Here is an 18307-nt window from a genome sequence, read left to right on the forward strand (position 1 = left end):
AAACACTATCGGGAGCGGGAGGGGCTGACAATGAGAATGATTCAGCTGCAAGCAAGGGGCTCAGGGTCAGACCCAGGGCACAGGACTCTGGAGAATGAGCCCAGAGCATTGGGGGCCACTGGAGCAGGAGGAACAGACGCAAGACAGAGAGAGGACCGAGCCAATGGGGGGCCACCCACAAGCCCCCGACCAGGTCCCTGAGGACCATGGTGTTCAGGCATGAGGCAGCCACCACATCGCATCGCAGCAGAAGACTATGGAGCCTGTGACAGCAGGTGGGGACAGGGATACCTTGCTGTCTAGTTTCTTCATGGTCACTAGATCTAGAGACTTCAGGGAGTGCCCTGTGGGCGTGATGAAGTAGAGGCAAACGTGGATCCTTGTGTCATGGTAGTCGAAGAGCGAGCGGCGGATCTTCAGCTCCTCCTGCAGATAATTTTCAAACTGCGCATCGATGTAGTCAACTATGGGCCTGTAACTACAGACAGCTCCATCACCCAGGAGGCTGCCAGCTGAGATCAGGGGCTTGGGGCTTGGGGGGCTCAGGGCTCGGGGCCAAGCCAGGCTGCCCCCTGGCCTTTTCTTTCTGGGAACAGCTTCTGCCTGAGATCCCTGACTGGATACAGGCAGCTGACCCCTTCTCCAGACACCTAAAGGAGTAACTGGTCTGTTGGTGACCACAGAGCCTCAGATATTCCCCAAGAGGCCCTCCCTGGCCCCCTGCAGTGTGAGGGCTGGGCTACTGTTATAGGGGCCAATGTAGGTGGGGTGGGAGGAGGCTGGGTGGGGCCGCCCTTCCCGCCTCTTGCCTCTCATCCTTATTGATCTGATCCCCAAAGCCCACGGCATCCACAATGGTCAGCTTGAGCTGCACGTTGCTCTCCTGGAGGTCATAGGTCTGGGGCCGCAGGCGCACGCATGCCTCATGGTGACTGGCTTCCTCAGTCTCGAAGGTCGTGTTGAAGAGTGTGTTCATCAGTGTGGATTTGCCAATGCCGGTCTCCCCTGGGCAGTGAGGACAGGAGGGGAAGAAGTGGGTGTCATAGGCTGGAAATGGGCTGTCCTTGACTGGTGGCTAGGCCAGGCAGGGCTCAGGCATCCATGGCCCCTGGATAAGAGAAAGGGGCAGGCCGCCCACCCCATCCCTCATCACCCCCATTCCCCAGGAACTATCTTTTCCTGTGGCCTCAGAAATAACCTGTGGAAGGAAGAGCCAAAAGGTGAACTTGGACAGAAGACATAGCTGTGTGTGATATGTGATGTATTTCCTCAGGGAGCAGGGAAGAGACAGAGCCAGGCAGCTGTGTAGACACCACTGCAGACCCAATCACCTCACACATAACCTGCTCTACACAACACCCCTCCTGGGACCAGGGTGGTCATGGGACCAAGAGGGCCAGGGTCTAAAGCCACCAGTGGCTCAACCCATGCGCCCCGGACAGCCCTAGCTCCACATGGCTTTAGCTGGGGGAACTCAGGATGGGCTGCTTCCCGAAGGACACCTGCAGAGGGACCAGAAGAGCACTTTGTGTCCTTCTGGGAGTCCCAGGGAACCTCCGAGAGCCTCTCTGCTTGGGGCTGTTATTTGTTCACATGCGTGCTGGAGCACTTACCATAGGATATGGTGATGAGGGGCAGAGCTGTTTACCATAACGTCCTTGACACAGGGTGGGAAGCAGTAAATGAGTACATGTTTTTTAAATGAACAAACAAATGAATAAATGAACCTAAATCTCTGTGATAAACACCCACAGTTTACAAAGCACTTTCATGTGCCCGATCCAGTTTACTCTTCATGACAATGCTGTGTCAGGCCCTGGCTCTAACTCTATCCTTGACTCTGGCAGAGACACCAACCAAATCCTCGTCCTGACACCCCCAAAGTTTCACTCTGCCTGGGAAGCCCCCTTGCAGCTCAACAGGGGGCCAGAAGCACCCCCTCTCCCAGGAGGTTCTCACCCACCCTCTGTCTGAGGCCAGGCCCTGACACTCACCCACACAGAGGATGTTGAAGCTGAAGCCCTGAGTGACCGACTTGCTGACCAGCTGGTCGGGGAGGCTGTCGAAACCCACATGGCCGCCCAGGGAGAGGCTCCGGGGCTCTGGCTCTGCATTCTGCCAAGAGAGAAATAAAGCAAGACATGAGCCCACTGGGGAAGAAAGGTCAAGCTGCGGGGTGGGCGCTAAATCTGAGTTAAAACAGTGAAGCAGCCCCACCCGATGTCTGAATTCTCAACAAATCTCAGACACACCCTGAGTACACCCGAGCACCAACTCCAGGCCAAGTTTCCCCAGAGGGAGCCCGATGCCCCCAGGGGGAAAGGCCCTTCCACTCTGTAGCTTTGCTCCACCTGGGATGGCCAGGGATGCCTGGGCTGAGGGCTCCATGTCTCCTGGCATAGGTGGCCCCAGGGGCTGTGGTTGCTACCCATAAGGGCCCACCTGTTTTCCTACTCAGGAGGAGGCCCCAGATGGTCCCAGAGGACCAGATTGGAAAGTGTGTCTGTTCCTGCAGCCAGCTCTAGGAGACGGGGGATGCTGCCCCTGCCTAGTCCTCCCAGGCCCTCCCACTGATGCAGGACTCAAGTAGGGCCACGTCTGGTCCAAACCCCTCACAAGCATGCTCCCTCAGAGGAGCCTTCTCTATCAGCTGGGCTCGTAGCCCTCCATGTTCACCCCTGCTCCTCACACACCCACGTGTGGGACTCATGCATGGACCCTGCTAAAGGAGCCGGCCCTCACTCACACAACCCCCCCGTGGGGCTCAGGGGTGGGTTTCAAAGGGACTGAGACTCTGAGGCCTCCTCCCTTCTGCCTCAGTGGTATTCTCTAGAGACCCCCAGCTCCTGGCTCCTGACTCCTGCCACCCTTCCACCCCCATCTCAGCCCTGGTTGTCTAGACAGAAGGTTCCGGGTAAGAATGTGGAGGCCTGGCCTTAGCAGAGGGCTGAGCGGCAGGCCCCGAGTGAGCTGGGGCCACTGGAGGTGGCCCACCGCTCTATAAAAAGAAACCACGAGGACCCAAAGCAGAGGGTCATGGTCACACTCCAACTTGTGTGGCTGGTTTCTCTGACTCCCTGGAATGGGGTAAAATGCTGCCCGAGGGAAGGTTCCCAGGTTCAGCCCCTCTGGAGGGCAGACCTTAGGCAGCTCCATGTTGTGCAGAGTCATGCCTCCTCCATTCCTGAGCCCCACTGCCCTGAGACAGCTAGAAAGAGGAAGGAGAGGAAGGGGCAGCGGATTCAGAGTCTCTCCTGCCCATAGCCGCAGGGTGGTGAAGCAGGTCCAGCTAAGGACAGCCCAGGAGATAGGGCCAGTGGCAGCCCTTGTGCAGATGTGGATACAGGCTCGGGGTCAGGAACCGACAGGGGGCCCTGACTCCTGCCCCACAGAAGCATCTCCTCAGCACCTGAGCAGCTGACCTGTGCCACAGCCCACTGCCTTGGCCTGAACCCCTCTGGCCATCCTTCCCTCCCAACCAGAGAACCTTGGCACTCAAACCCAACCTTCTGCACAACTGATGTCTACCTCCCCACAGCAGCCTTGCATCAACGACTCCCAAGTGTGGGTGCTGGCAACCTAGACCCCACATGGCCCCTCTGGGCAGTTGTACCATCCCCTCAAACAAGTCAGGGCTACCCCTAAACCTGCTTTCTCCCATGACTCTCTCTCAACGGAGCCTCTTTTCTTATAGCTGACCCTTTCTCCCCATCACCTAGCCCCAAAGCATCATGTCCCAATCTCCCCACTCAAGCCCAGATCTCCTTAGGGCTGCAAACATAATTGGACAAGGAGGTCCCAAAGGCAGTTTCCTCTCATTGGTGCCCACATAAAAGTAGTTAATGAAGCCTAGGAGGTGCTGGGTCAGGTCCAAAGCCCTTAGCATGGTGTTCCAGGCCTTCCTCACTGGCCTGGTTCCAGCCCAGCTGGTAACTCTGAGCTCTCTTTTCAAACTCTGCCCCTCCCCTCGGCTCTACAGCTACTCTACTTTTCCCTTGGCACCCACTCTCACCTGGCCCCCAAGCACTTACGTTCCAGACCCCTCACTTGGCAGTTATCCTGTTTCCTAGTACTACTGGTTATCCTTTTTTAATGCATCTTGATTCTCCACCTATTCTATAAGCTTCTAGATGTCGGCTGCAGGTTGGGGAGGTCAGGTTTTCTGTTCTTCCTTCCCTCCCATTACTATGCCCAACATGCTGGACAATGCTACCATTTATAAGTTACTGAACACAGCCTCCAACTGCTACGGCATCAGAGCACCTGCCCACCTTACACAGGGCTTCATTATTTAGTCTCTGTTCCACCTCCTTGTGTCGGCTTGAGGATCAAATGGAGGACACAGTCGGTCTAGAGCTTTTTTCTTTTCAGGCAAGACTGAAAATCTCCAAAATTTAAGGCGTGCTGTGCTTGCAGAGAAGGCTATGTGTTTATTCATCCTCTTCTTCCAAGGGGTGACACAATCAGGATGCAATCCAACATCCTGTAGTCTGCCGCCAAACCCCACCAAGTCAGCTGTGTCTGGAAACCACACACACACACACACACACACACACACACACACACACACACGCAGCCGCAGAGCACTTACTGAGAAGCAGAGGCCATTCCATTCCTGTTTTCCCCCACTTTCTTACAGTTCTAGGCCCCAGAGGCTAAGTGTAGCACTGGGGGTTCTTGGGGTGGGTCTCACATAAACCACCTATCCACACACAGCAACTGCAGAGTGGCCTCCTCTCACACAGCTTGGCTCTCTCTGTGGAAGTGTGGGGTACAGGGAGGTCATCATCCCTAAGTTGTTACCCAGGCTACACTCTGTTATCGCAGGGGCCACACATCTGGGGCAATACCTGTTTAGGAGCCCCGGGGACCAGTCAGGGGTATGAGTCTATGGAGCATGCATGCACACACACACGTACACACACAGAATGGCCACTGGCCCTGATGGAGGCAGTGTTGTTACCTGGTCCCAGGAGACTGATCTGACCTCCAGGCTTTACCGAGGGGTAACTCTCACTAATGCCAACTCCCTGATCATAGATTTGGCATCGACATGTGATCTAAGTTGCATTGCTCACTCCAGGGTGCCTGCTCCAGGCATCTCTACCAACCTGAGTGGGGTTACAACCTAGGAGGAACCAGCAGCCCCTGAAGGACCTCCTGCACATCTCAGCTACCATGACTCAGAAATAAAGTCAGGTGACCCAGTGGCTACCAGCCCTGCAATTTGGTGGGTGAGACCACAGCTCCAACTCCCAGGGTGGGAGCCCATCAGCGTGATGCCATGATCGGTGCAAGTACAGGCAAGTGACGCAGGTTGAGCCTTTATGACCATCTTGAGACCATTAGGGGAGCTAGCCTAAGGCTGCAGTCTACTCACAGGATGGCAGAGCCAAGAAAATCACAGAGAAAAGAGGGAGCCAGAGTCTGCCCTATCTCTGGGCTTTTCCCCTTCCCCCTGGCCATATCCTCTTTATTGCTGAGGCTAGTTGAGTGGTATTATCTATTACTTGCAACTGAAACATCTTCGGTGCCATAGGATCCAAAGTAAAACTCTTTGGATGCAGAGGAACAGGGAGAAAGCGAGGAGAGCCAGGAAAGGAGGGACAGTGTGGAAGGTAAAACATCTCAGTATTCACAACCAAAGGAAGGAAGGGACGTCTGGGATGATACCAACACCTCACTGAGGACCACCATGTGTGAACTAAGCCAAGTGATTTACACCCAGGCTCTCACTTGGTCCTTCCTCACTGTGGATGACAGACTCCATGATTATCCCCATTTTACAGGGGAGGAAACTGAAGCACACAGAAGCTAGGGAACTAACCAGGGCAGAGCAGGGACCTGAGAACAGACCAAGCTCTTGTCCCAAACCACTCTGCTACATTGCCTCCCCTGTTCTTAGCAGGCTTCCAACTCATTCATTCAGTCACTCAACACACACGCACTGGACATGTCTGCTGTGTGCCAGGAACTGAGATGGCTGCCAGTGAAAAGATGAGGACATCAGATCCTTGACCTCAGAGGGCTAAGCCTAAACTCAAATGCCTTTAGAAGCCAGGCAGGTAACATATATAGGTGAAGGGGAGCAGCACCTTAATAACAATGGCAACAACAACAGACATAACTAACATGTATTGCATGCTTGCTTTGCGCAACCCTAATTTAATCTAATTTAGTCCACACATCAGCCCTATGACATAGGCCGTAGCAGCCTCCCCATTGTCTAGATGAGACAATAGAGGCATCAAGAGAGTGTGTAATTTGCCCAAGACCACACTGCTCAGGAGAGCAAAGCCAGGATCTGAATGGAGACAACATGACTGTGAAACCCACACTTCTAGTCACATCACTCCCCGCCTGCTGGATGAAAGACAGCCACTAACTTGGCCAAGCGTGGGGGTTCCCGGGGAGAGGTGGGAATGGCAGAGAACTGGAGAGCCTGTGCTTATGCTCAATCCATGGTGGCCACAGTTCCACAACGCCAGCCAACTGTGGGAACACAGATCTAGTGTTGCCAAATCTTCCCGTTTTTAAAGAGAACCCAAAAATCTCTCTCTATATATACATATATATATATATATATATATATATATATATATATATATACACACACATATATATATATGTGTGTGTGTGTGTGTGTGTGTATATATATATATATATGTATATATGTATATATATATGTATATATGTATATATATATATATGTATATATGTGTATGTGTGTGTATATATATATATATATATATGTATATATGTATATATATGTATGTATGTATTTTTTGAGACACAGTCTGGCTCTGTCACCCAGGCTGGAGTGGTGTGATCTCAGCTCACTGTAACCTCCGCCTCCTAGGTACAAGCAATTCTCATGCCTCAGACTCCCCAGTAGCTGGGATTACAGGCACGCAACCACCACGCCTGGCTGATTTTTGTATTTTTAGTAGAGACGGGGTTTCACTATGTTGGCCAGGTCGGTCTTGAACTCCTGACCTCAGGTGATCCACCTGCGTTGGCCTCCCAAAGTGCTGGGATTACAGGTGTGAGCCACCATGCCTGGCCCAGAAATCTATATTTTTATGTGAAATTCTGTAATTTTTAAAGATTGACAACCAATACAAACTGAGAATACCATGAGGGCCCAATACAACATGTCAGGGGGCTGGTGTGGGCCAAAGGCCTGCTGGTCTGTAAGCTGGCTCTGGTGGGAGGGTGAGCTGGACGGACCCTGCAGCCAGGCTCCATTCTCAAGTCAGGAAGCCCCATGGCAGACTGCTCTGTGGGGAGGAGCCTTCAGGCAGGACAACTTAACTTGGACCCCAGAGAGAGGTGGACCCAAAGCCTCTGGCTCATTCCACACACCCAGCTCCCTGAGGTGCTCACACAGGGGTGAGCGTTGTATATGTCTTCAAAGTCCCAGGATAGAGGGAGTTGGCAGCTCTGAGCTCTACATATGCAATGAGAAACTCCATGGGGCCATTATCCCCTCTCTAATCACTAACAAGCTTTTGGCTCCTGAGCCAGGCCCCAGGCTTCTGTGTCATCATTTCTTTGGCACATCAAAGACAACAACCAAAACAATAACTTCTCAGGCCGGCTGCGTGCCTCCATGCCCGGCCGTCCAAGACAAAGTAGAGAACAGCATTTTGTTACGCAGCCCAGTGGATAACTAGGACGCCCTTTTCCTGATAGGAAATGCTCTGTCTGAGCCTCCTAGAGCAGCCCTCATCACCAGCCAAGAGGAGCTGTCCCTTTTACCATGAAACAAGGTGGGATCTGGGAAGAAACTGCATCTCATGGTTGCCAACACACAAAAACAGGTTTTTATCCAGAAGGAACTGGAAATCTACTGAATCTCTAAACCAACAGAGCCGGGGAAGCTGTGGGTAAATAAAGACCCCTGTGATCCAAACCCCCAAACTAGGCTGGTTGTTGCAGTGGGAGTAGAAAGGATACCCCACCATAGGTGGATTGGCTACCGAGTAATGGACAAAGAGCAGCCCCCAGACCTCAGGCCTTCCAGAGTTCTCCAGTGCCTTGGACTTTGGATGCTTTTCTTCCTCTGGGCTCCCATGCCTAGCACCCACTCACCTGTACACCCAGTCAGGCAGACAGGAAGCCCACTCCCCAGGGGAGCTCCAGCCCTGGGGGTGGCCCTATTAAGTAACTGAGCAATGGACTCAGGAGTCAATGGACCACTGGAAGCTTTCTCCACCCATGTTCCTGGCACAAACTATGCTAGCCCCGGCTCCAGCTCCTCCCAGGAGCCTGGGCCTTAAATAGCCAGAGCAGAGGCCTCTAGCCAGAACCCGTGGTCGCGGTCATAAGCACAACTGTCCTTGAGCCTGAGAGGAATCCTAGGAATTTTCCCAGGAAAGGCTTCGGCTCTGGTCCCAGGATTCCACAGCAAGCCTCTAAGCCCAGGTCAGAGGTTACGGGAAATAACCAAGGAGACATACGTGGGAGGGTGGGGGTGGGATGCTGCTACCCGGGGCCAGGAAGGAAGAATAGAGGCAGGATATACCTGTCCCAAATCAAGAGGACACCTGGGAGCCAAAGCATCTTTCTCCTACAGTGGCAACAGAAAACTTGAGAGAAGATTCAAGCAAGGATCACCCGCCATGGTCCCAACATGACGGCAGTCAAGGTAACAGGAAGCCAATCATCCTCACAAGGCCAGTCCTACTCCACCCATCCTGGGAAGAGAAGGAATTTTGGGAGCAAAACCATCCCCTGACCCCAATACTCCATTCTCTCTGTTTCTCTGTCTCACTAAGAGGCACTGTCTTTCCTTTCTGCACACAGCCAGCCAGGCTGGAGCTTATTAATTTGGGATAGTGTGTTTCAAGCTTTTCCCATCAAAATCAGATTTCCAGGAAGCTAAGAGCACAGTTACTGGTAGCTGGGCCAGTACTCGCCACCCCAACCCCCAGGCCTAGGACAGACACATTCTTGGCCTTTATTGTGCTGCCTGAGAGGGAGTGGTCTATCCCACCACAGAGGAGATGGGGAAGGTGCTCTGGGCTGCAGAATGTACTAGAACTCCAGGCATTCATATTTTCTTACTTAGCTCAGGGACTCCAGTGGCAGCCACCACTGCCTTGTAACAGGGAAAGCCACGAGTGGTCTGGGTATCACTGGCAGGAGAAGGCAGCCTCTGTTTCACAGCAAATGAAACCCTTGGAGGGAGAATGTGGGCAGCAAAGGTGCCCCGCCTTCTGTCCAACCCCACGATGGATGCCAGTGCTGGAAAGGGACGGAGGAATGCATGGGCACCAATACGGGTTGGCAGAGGTATGGGGGTGGCACTGCTATACTTCTCTGCTGCTTGTCCATTCACTCCAACACCAGGCAGAATGTCAGGTTTGTACCCAGGCCCAAGAGCCATGTCTGGCAAGTGGGCTTGGGTCCATACCCACAGCCCCTCCTGAACCCCAAGCATCAGGCAGCCCAAGCCCTGGAGCCCCCTCAGAAAACAGCCAGCCACCTGCCAGCAGACATGGGCCCCTGTACCTTCCTCTGCTGGTTCTGTCCCTCTAATCTGACCTCTAGGATAGGGAACACCTGAAAGCCGTGTATCCTGAGGAGAATATCTAATTTGCCCCAAGAACATGTAGGGCAACTGCACGCAGAGCCAAGATGCCCCCTGCCCCGTCCTCCGCTGCCTCTTCCCAGCCAGTTCTTTCAGGAGCTCTGAAGGTTCAGATGGCTCCAAAAGAAGCCAACAGAGTGCCCCAGCTCTACCACAAGGGCATGGAGACCTTGGGAGGGCGTCTCCTCCCCAGGCAGATGTGTCTCCCTCCTGCATGCATAGCTCTGCATCTGGTTATCTGGCAAAGCTTTTGCCTTGGGGGCCATGCCTGGGGATCCTGAAACCCAAGCTGGCAGCACAGAGGCAGGAAGGCTGGGGAGGCTGCAAGGGACACACAGAGGCCAGCTGGCCCTCAGGCCCTTTGCTCTACCATCCTGCAGCTGCTCGCCTCTGGTAGCTGGACTTGAGCCACAGAGACATTCGTGGTAGTTACTGCCCCAAATATAATATATGCTTCCACCTAGCCCATCCGAGGGCTCAAAACGCCAAGGTATCCACCCTCTCTGTCATCTCTGGTATTGGAATTTGGATCTTGTTCCCCCTACCTTTGCTAGCCAATGACCAAAGTCTGCATCCTCACCCAACCTTGGGCTGTTGGCATCAACAAGATAATGCGCTCAAAGCACCCACTGCCCTCCTTGCCATCCAAGGTTTTTGACACAAGTCAGACCCTGGGTTCCCAGGCTCCATCCAGTCTCCCTCCTCCTTGGCCCTGAGCTTGGTCTCCTCCTTGCCATCCTCTCTGTTCCTATCATGGTCAGTCTTTTAGCATGTGCTCCCTGGAATGACCAATGCTTTCCATCAGCCCCGCAGCTCTGACCCACTGCAATCAAGACCCCAAGGAGACCTTCCTAAGGTGGGCACACATAGCATGGTCTGATGCCCAAGAGAGAGGGAGGGCAGGCAGACTCACCTCCTGGGGGAGAGGGCAGAGCTGCAGCTCTGCAGGTGGTGCTCACATGTGCCCTGGGAGCTGCACGGGCATCTCTTGCTCAGCTCCCGTTTTTCTTCGGCATGGCTCAGCAAGGAGGCTACTGGCCGTTTTTACAAGATGGGGAGATATCACTCTGACAGAGACCTTGAGCCTCATTTGGGTGCGGGCTCTCAATTCCTGCTTCAGGAGGGACTAGGTACTCCCTGAAGAGCCCGCTTCTTGGGGAAGTATCAAGATTGCAGGGGTGACAACGGAAGTGACAGATGGTGCTGGGGATAAAGCAGAGATGGGGGTAAGTGACTGGCTGGGAAGAACGCCAGTGTGAGGCTGTGTGCTGCACGTTTCTTCCTCTCCCCCTCAGCTTCACTTTCCCCAAGCCCTAAAGGGTTGCTCACCACGGGGTCTGAACCTGTGAGATTCTGGCAGGAGAAAACACCGGAGCTGGCCCTCGGGGAAGAAAGGGCTGAGCCCCAGAGTCAAGGTTCCAGTTAGGAGGAGGGGCACAGCAAGAGTGGACAGGAATCTGGCTGCCCGAGGAAGGCAAGAGGCAACACACCCTCCTCAGAGGGCTGCTCCACACACCCACACACAGGGGATGCCAACCCTTACCCCAATACTGATCTAGGGTGGAGCAGAGCCCAGTCAGGATGCCAAGGCTGTTGGCCTGTGGTGTGTACACCATGCTATGTGAGGACACAGGAACCCAGCACACATCCATCTCAAAGTACAACTCTGTATGCCGTCTAAGCTCCAGGTCAGGACAATTCTCAGGCCTGCAGGGCTAGACTGACCACTGAGCTGGCCAGAGGGACAGTGTAGACCTGTCATGGCTCCATCACATCCTGGGGCTTGCGAGACACCTCAGCATATTTCCAAACATGCCACGGACTGCAATTAACCCTCCATAAACTCTCTGAGGAACCAGTGTGGCTCTGCCCATTTTACAGCAAGATAAAGGCAGAAATGATTTTCCCAAGATGACAAGCCAGGAAGGGTGAATGGAGTCCAGACTTAAATTCAGGCCAAACTCCACCCAAGGTCTCCACCCAAATCCAACCCTATCCAAGCCCTTCCAGGAGGCTGACAGCCCAAAGTGCAGAGGGTGTGGAAGGTGTCCATCCCTCCAGCTGAAGCTGGCATAGCAACCAAGGCCCTGCGCTCAGGCTCTACGCCCTTGCCTGAGTCAGTCCCCTCTCTGTGCCCTGGCCACCCCGCAGCTAATACCAAAACTCCTCACAGGAATGGTCCGAGAGCAAACACAGGACCCCAGGGGAAGGCTTGACCAGCCCACAGCATGGCCTCTCAGCTAACCCTCTGAGGACCATCTCTGGACGAGCAGGGATGGAAGCTCTACAGAGAGTGCCATGAACAGGGCAAATGCATCCTCTGCTCCCTTCTTACATAGGGGGCCAGTCCTCACATCCACGTGGACAATAGGTAGCATATATTATTTATTGTGTCCTTACCATGTGCCAGACACAGGGCTAAGTACCTCCCCTGGATTCTCTTGTTGAATCCTCACAATACCCCTATGAGGGAAGAAATATTTCTATCCCATTATACGCATGAGAGCACCAAGGGGTTAAATAACCTGCCCAAGGTCACATGGCCAACAAGGAGTGTCTAGGATTCCTATCAGGCTGTCTGATTCTGGTTTCTCTACATACCTCTCCCACCTGCAACATCAACTGTTAAACCTCTGGCCACAGACAAGACCCAGACATAACTTTCTGGTCAGCTGGGCACAGAAAATGCACACAGACACACATGCAGAGACACCCAGGCACTCACGGGTCTCTTGGCCTCCAGCTAATCAGCAGGTCTGTTAGGATTCAGGCACTGCCCTCCTCCGGTACATAAATTCCAATTTATAATACGGGGCGAAGTGAATCTCTGAGTAGCCCAGCCTCTGAATCTGTTCCTCATGTATTTAAACTTACTTAACTGACATACGACCCCCTCTCCAATGGGAATAAAACACCCGAGTCTAGAAATTATGAAACCAAGAGCTCCTGCTTTAGTCATGCACATTTCCAAAGTAGAATAAGAAATGTATTTTCAGATTAAATGGAAAATTTACATATATAAATTGGGATGACGGTATTTATAGCATTAATTACATAAGTCCTGGCTCCCTTATTTAGCCCCAGAACCAATTCGTTATCGTTCACATATTCAGAATTCCCCCTTCCCTCCAACAGCCCTGGGCCTCCCTCCTCCTCCTCCTCCTTCTCCCCCTCCTCCCCCTTCCAGCCGACCAGGGCCTTACATGCTGGCAAGAGGACACAGCTTCCTTCACTGTCACAGCCTAGCCTCCCAGACACACCCAGATCCAGCCTTAGACAGCAGGGGATGTCCAGATACAACCCCCCAAAGGCCTCCCTCCCGCGAGTGAATTATGAAAGCCTTTAGTAAGTTGGCTGTCGGCAGGCTCAGGCCCAGTGAGACCCCTGCAGGGACCACCAGGGACATCAACCTTCTGAGGACCTGGACTGGAGCCCAAATAAACGCCCACTGGGCTGAGTCTGGAATCCCTCCAGCTCCTGGCGAATGGCTGCCGCAGACCCGACCACTGAGGCCTGACCTGCCTGGAGTCGCACCCAGGATTCCGGCGTGGGGAGCGGGGCAGAGGGGAGCGGGGGAGGAAGGAAAAGCAGGCCAAGGGTCTTCAGGACTCAAGTCTGCAACTGTCCTGGGCTCGTGTGGGAGACTCTCTCGGATCCTGGGGCCTCCATCCTCCCCGGCTGTACCTATCCCGCAGCACCTGTGCGGCTAGGACTCTTCCCCAAGTGTGCAGAAAGAAACACCCTGGGCGATAGGGTCCGGAGTGTCCCGGACCCTCACCTGCGGCCCCGCGGGCGCCACTCTATCTTCGCACCTGCCCGGAGCCAGGCGGGTCTTTGCTCCTTCCCGCGAAAGGGGTTAGCCTTGCCTGCGCCCCAGGAAGCGACCCCGACCAGCCGCCCGGCAAGGCAGGCCGCCCGACGCTCCGGGACCCCCCGATAGCGCGGCCGAGAGCCCGCGCCGGGGTCCTCGAGCTGGCCCGGTGTCGAGGCCCGGCCGTGAGGCGCTGACAGCCCGCTTCGCGCCCCCCGCCAGCTGCAGGGCGGCCCCTCCTGCGCCCCGCGCCTCCCGCGCGCGCCGTGGCCCAGCGGGGCCCTCACCGAGAAGCGCTCCAGGTCGGTGGCCGCCATGGCGAGCTCCGCACCGGGCGGGTGGGCTGGGACGAGCGCAGGGGCAGCGACAGGGACCAGCCGGCTGCGGGACGCGCTCCGCCCGGGCGGCTGCGGCTGAATGGATCCAATATGGCCACTTCCTGGAAACTCCCCTTGGCGGCGGCGGCGGGAGAAGCCGCGGAGCCGCCCCTGCCCCCGCCCGCGGGACCGGCCTCCCCGCCCGGCCCGGCCACGAGCGCAGCCGGAGCCCCGCCGCTTGGACGGCCGGGGGTCTCCGCGGCGAGGCGGGAGGTGCCAGCTGCGGGGACTGCTGGGACTTGTAGTCCGCGCGTTGGGGGACCGGGACGGCAGTGTCGGGGGGCTCGGGGCTGGTGCCCGGCGGGCCTCTGCGTGTCCCCTGGAGCCTGGGGCCGAGCCTAGGTGAGAGTCTCCTGGGTCCGCGCGCTGGAAAGCCTTTCCCGTAAGGGGGAAGTGGGGCACGGCGTGCGCCCTAGAGATCTCCCCCACCAAGCCGTCTCCACCCGCTGGAGCCTGCAAATGTGCTGGGACCACCAACCAGAGTGTGGACAAGCTGCGGGAGACCCGTCGGATCCGGGAGAGGCCGCGGCAGCCTAGTCTGCGGGTGTCTTGGGCCCCACCTGATGCTCCGGCCGGAGCTAAGGCGGGAACCCCGGCGGGACCCGCGCGTCCGGCCAGGCGGCCTTCCCGGGCAAGGGACCAGCCTTCGGCTCCTTGTGCAACCAACGAGCAGGATGCGCAGTTTAGGCTGGGATTCCTGCAATAGAAAAGCGGAGCTCGACGGTCAAGGCGTCAGATTGCAAGTGTCCATCACCCTGCCTGTCCCAAGGGCTTGGGACAACGTCTTAATGGTTCCACCATTGTGCAAAGAGGATGACCACTCCCAGTGCGTGCACGTTCTCTCCGCTAATGTCACTGCTCAAAACGTTCAGAAAATTAACACTTACGCCAGGGTCGGAGGCCTCAGGAGGTTCTGTATCCTTCTCACTGACAATCTATACAAAAGCAGCTCCCAAATCCTCTGAAACCCCGTTTCTTTCTCTTCCCTCTGCCTTTCTCTCTGCTCTTTCTGGGAATGTGGCAAGGTTTGCCCCCTACCCCCCACTGGCCTCATCCCAGGTTGGTCCACCCTCCACACACACCCCTCACCCCAGTATGCTGAGAAGCAACCTGACCTGTTTCTCCTACTCAGAAACTTGTGCTGACTGGAGGTGCCTAAAGACCACGTTCGACTTAGCACACCTGGCTTAAGAGGAGCCCCCTCTCTGCTGTTTGACCTTGTCACCCTGATTTGGCTTTCCCCTCCTCACTCTCCCAGGCAAACTGTAGCTTGTCCCCAAGGTGGACTGACTTCCCGCTGGACCTTCCTGACAATGTTTTCACTTTGCTCCTCTCTCTATGTTGCTGTTTCCCATGCTGTATTAAAGTTATCTACAAGAAATAGAGCAGAGCAGTGGTTAGGGTAGCTGGATCTATGGCAAACCTTCCTGGTGGAATCCTGCTAGCTTTTTAACCTTAGCTAGGCAAGTTACTTAACTATGCCTCCCTTCCCTGGTCCTAAAAATGAGAACAAGTATAGCACCTATGTTACAGGATTAAATAACATAAGTAAAGGGCTTTAAGTTGTACTTAAAATATAATATTAAATAAAATCTCCCTCTCTAGACTACAAGGGCCTTAATCTCAGAGCCCAGAGAATGTGTGGTCAATACTGAATTGATCATCCTAGACTGTATCTACTGTTTCCTTTTTCTTTCCCTATAACTAACAAGAAATCACGACCAACTGCCATCCGTATGGCAGTTCTGCATTACAACTCTCTGGGACTAGCCCTAAATTATCTTCAAAATGGTCTTTTATCTCTAATCGGAAATATTTCAAAACATGTACTTCTTACAGTCCTGGCCAGTGGCTATGAGAAGGAAAAGCTCAGAGTACAGGTGACTTCCTTCTTTTGGGATATATTCACTCTGCTCTGTAGGAGTAAACAGGAGAATTTCCTCCTATTCCACAATGCCGAAATTTCTCTCATTTTATGCTGCTGCTGGTCAGAACTTATAAAAGAGTGAGAATTATCTATGAGGGCTCAAAAGGTGAATATAACGATCATTTCTCACATGGCAAAGTGTTATTTCTTATGGCAGCATTTCTGAGTGTTTCGTATACACCTAGAGGTTAGTTCATAGATTTTACCACAAAAAGATTGGTCTCACCGTCAAATAACTGGGGAATGCTGAGTTCCATACACAGACAGGGTTCTGTAGAAGTCCTCAGCTTTTGATCAGCTAATATGCATTTTCTGTGCAAAAGAAAGGGGAATATACAGCTCTACCCACACTTTGTTGCCCCTTGTCTCTACCCTGCATACATACCCAGCACCACACTGAACTTGAACATGACAAGACTTCGCTTCAGGAAATGCTGCCCTCCAGGCCTCTTGCTTGTCTTTTACTTTTGTTTATACTTTCTTTTGTCATGTAGAAGTTTAAATTTTTGATGTTGTCAAGTGTACTTGTTATTTTATTTATTATTTTTACTTTGGCTTCTAAAAATAAAGACCCTTCCCTAACTTCACAAAGATATTGTGTTTGTGAGAAAAGAATAAATTTTCTTTAAAAACTTTTTTTTAACTCCTTCACATCTAGGCAATTTGTGTATGTGTATGCCAAACCAGTTGTTTCATCTTTCCCCTCTGATGTACAATGCAAATGGTATCACAGACGACATTTCTGTATGTGTGTGCAGGTTGTGCATCAGTTAGGATTATGTTCAGCTGCTTCAACAAGATAGAAATGTCTTCCTTTCTTACATTGTCCAGGTAGGTAGTCCAGGGCTTATGTGACTCTCTACGCACACTTTCTTCTTGTTGCTTGGCCTTACGTGGTCTTGCTCTCATGGTCCAATATGGTGATATCTGCATTCCAGGCAGCAAGAGGCAATGATAGTAATACAGTGCAAATGAGCCAACTCTCAGAGGATTCCAGAAGCTGCCATGTGGCACTTCTGCTTACATGCTATTGGCCAGAGCTGGAAAATGGGGTCTTTATTCTGGCTATCATGTGCACAGCTAAAAAGTCCATAAAATGTTAGAGGAGAGCAGATGTTGGGAGGCTGCAGCCATCTCTGCCAAGTCTGTTTCTGGACTATCCGTTCCAGTGAGATGCCTGAAAATCTTTTTTTCTAATACTATGAAATTTTTGTTTATTAGAAAATTAAAATATAAAAAATGACAAGCAAGAAAATAATCAGCCATACACCAACAGAATCAGCCACAGATAATTTCTTAGCCTTCCACCCCTTTTAAAGAAAAATTTCATGTTTTTAAGTGATATATGTACATTTTAAATAATTTGAATACAGAGAATATTAAATTATCCCAATCCCACCACTCAGAAATCACCATCATGAACACTACATTTATATCATTCCAGAAAACTTTCTATGTATATTTACTGATAGGAGGAAAGATAATAGAGATACTTTATAGGAATCTGGGCCATAATACAGATGCTATTTAAATTAAAAGTACTTAATTTTACTTGAATTTAAAAGAAGACAAAGAAGTTGAAACTGAAGAAAGAGTTGAACTTCAAAGAATGTTTCTTGACCACAAGAGATATTACTTCCTAAAAGATACCTCTGAGGTTAAACAAAAATTGTAAAAAACACTGAGGTTAGAGTTATTTTCTTAAAATGCACATTTCAGTGACATATGAGTGTGTGTGTGTGTATGTGTGTTCAGTGTGTTCATTGCTTTGAAAAATTCGCTCTCATGATTCTTTCCATCTCTGACTGACCTGCTTCCTAAGTTTAGTTACATATTATTGTTACATTATCCATGTTTATAACACTCATATTCTGTTTTGTAAACATAACTTCATAGTTAGTTGATAAATATTCTGAATTAAAATGAATTCAATGGTCATCGTTAGTCTTCTTACCAAGGCTTTTTTTTCCATTTGCAAGTTCTTTATTTTTGTTCATCTCTTCATGGACTAAATTAATCGTTAAGCTGTTTTTCCAGGAAGTATTTTCGATGTTTAACAGTATCTGTCTGTGCCTCGATACTGGAACCATATCTTGGCTGGGTATAATATCCTTGAGTCTCATCTTTCCCACTGAATGTGGTAGGTTTTGCCTCTTTTTCTTCTGGGAAGAAGCCTGAGGCCAGCCTGAATTTTCCCCTTTATAGGAGACATTTTTTTCTGCTTGAATGCCTAAAGAAGTCACTCTTCATCTTTTTTTTAGGTTCAATAACTTAACTAAGATGTCTTAGTAGTAAACATTTCAAATCAAGCTTTTCTGGAATATAGTGTGTTCTTTCAATCTGCAGCTTTAGTTTTGAAATTTACCTGTTTGTTTCTCCATTAAAGGAATTCTCTTTTGGTTCTGTTTCTGGTTTTCCTTCTTCAGGGATTTTAATTAATTTTTATATCAGATCAGCTTTGTCTGTCTTTCATTTCTACTAATTCTAATTGCTTTAATCTCTTTGCCTAGTTTAGCTGCCCTAATTCAGTAATTTGAGTTTCAATGGGGCCCATTCTCTTTCTTGTTAGTTCTAATTTGTTTGTCTATAATAATATG

At 51.8% G+C, this 18307-nt stretch overlaps 1 protein-coding gene across 17 annotated transcripts in view, besides 2 other annotated features; it reads right to left on the reverse strand.

The window, feature by feature from the left end:
* The window catches only part of SEPTIN8 (septin 8), a 29265-nt gene extending 12596 nt beyond the window's left edge, over positions 1-16669 (reverse strand). For 5 of the 17 annotated variants that reach the window (XR_007058599.1, XM_005271927.4, NM_001098811.2 and 2 more), the window contains exons 1-4: positions 13694-13825; positions 1995-2115; positions 810-1005; positions 292-478 (exon numbers count right to left, since the gene is read on the reverse strand). Coding sequence is in view for 16 of the 17 variants with exons in the window: in XM_005271927.4 (XP_005271984.1) it covers positions 292-478; positions 810-1005; positions 1995-2115; positions 13694-13723 (534 nt within the window). In the remaining variant the exon portion in view is untranslated. Of the gene's footprint in view, positions 1-291; positions 479-809; positions 1006-1994; positions 2116-13693; positions 13826-14261; positions 14599-14670 lie in introns of those variants that run through there. The other 12 variants (XM_047416999.1, XM_017009256.1, XM_017009259.1 and 9 more) reach the window with 4 other exon arrangements.
* Positions 13596-14005: a silencer, noted in NCBI's record as "silent region_16336". NCBI's record gives its function as "represses an Ori minimal core promoter by ATAC-STARR-seq in GM12878 lymphoblastoid cells {active_cell/tissue: GM12878}" and the evidence as "EXISTENCE:reporter gene assay evidence [ECO:0000049][PMID:35858748]".
* Positions 14096-14145: a silencer, noted in NCBI's record as "silent region_16337". NCBI's record gives its function as "represses an Ori minimal core promoter by ATAC-STARR-seq in GM12878 lymphoblastoid cells {active_cell/tissue: GM12878}" and the evidence as "EXISTENCE:reporter gene assay evidence [ECO:0000049][PMID:35858748]".
* Positions 16670-18307: the final 1638 nt, after the last annotated feature.

This window comes from Homo sapiens, chromosome 5 (assembly GCF_000001405.40).
Source record: "Homo sapiens chromosome 5, GRCh38.p14 Primary Assembly".
In the NCBI taxonomy this organism is placed as follows: Eukaryota; Metazoa; Chordata; class Mammalia; order Primates; family Hominidae; genus Homo; species Homo sapiens.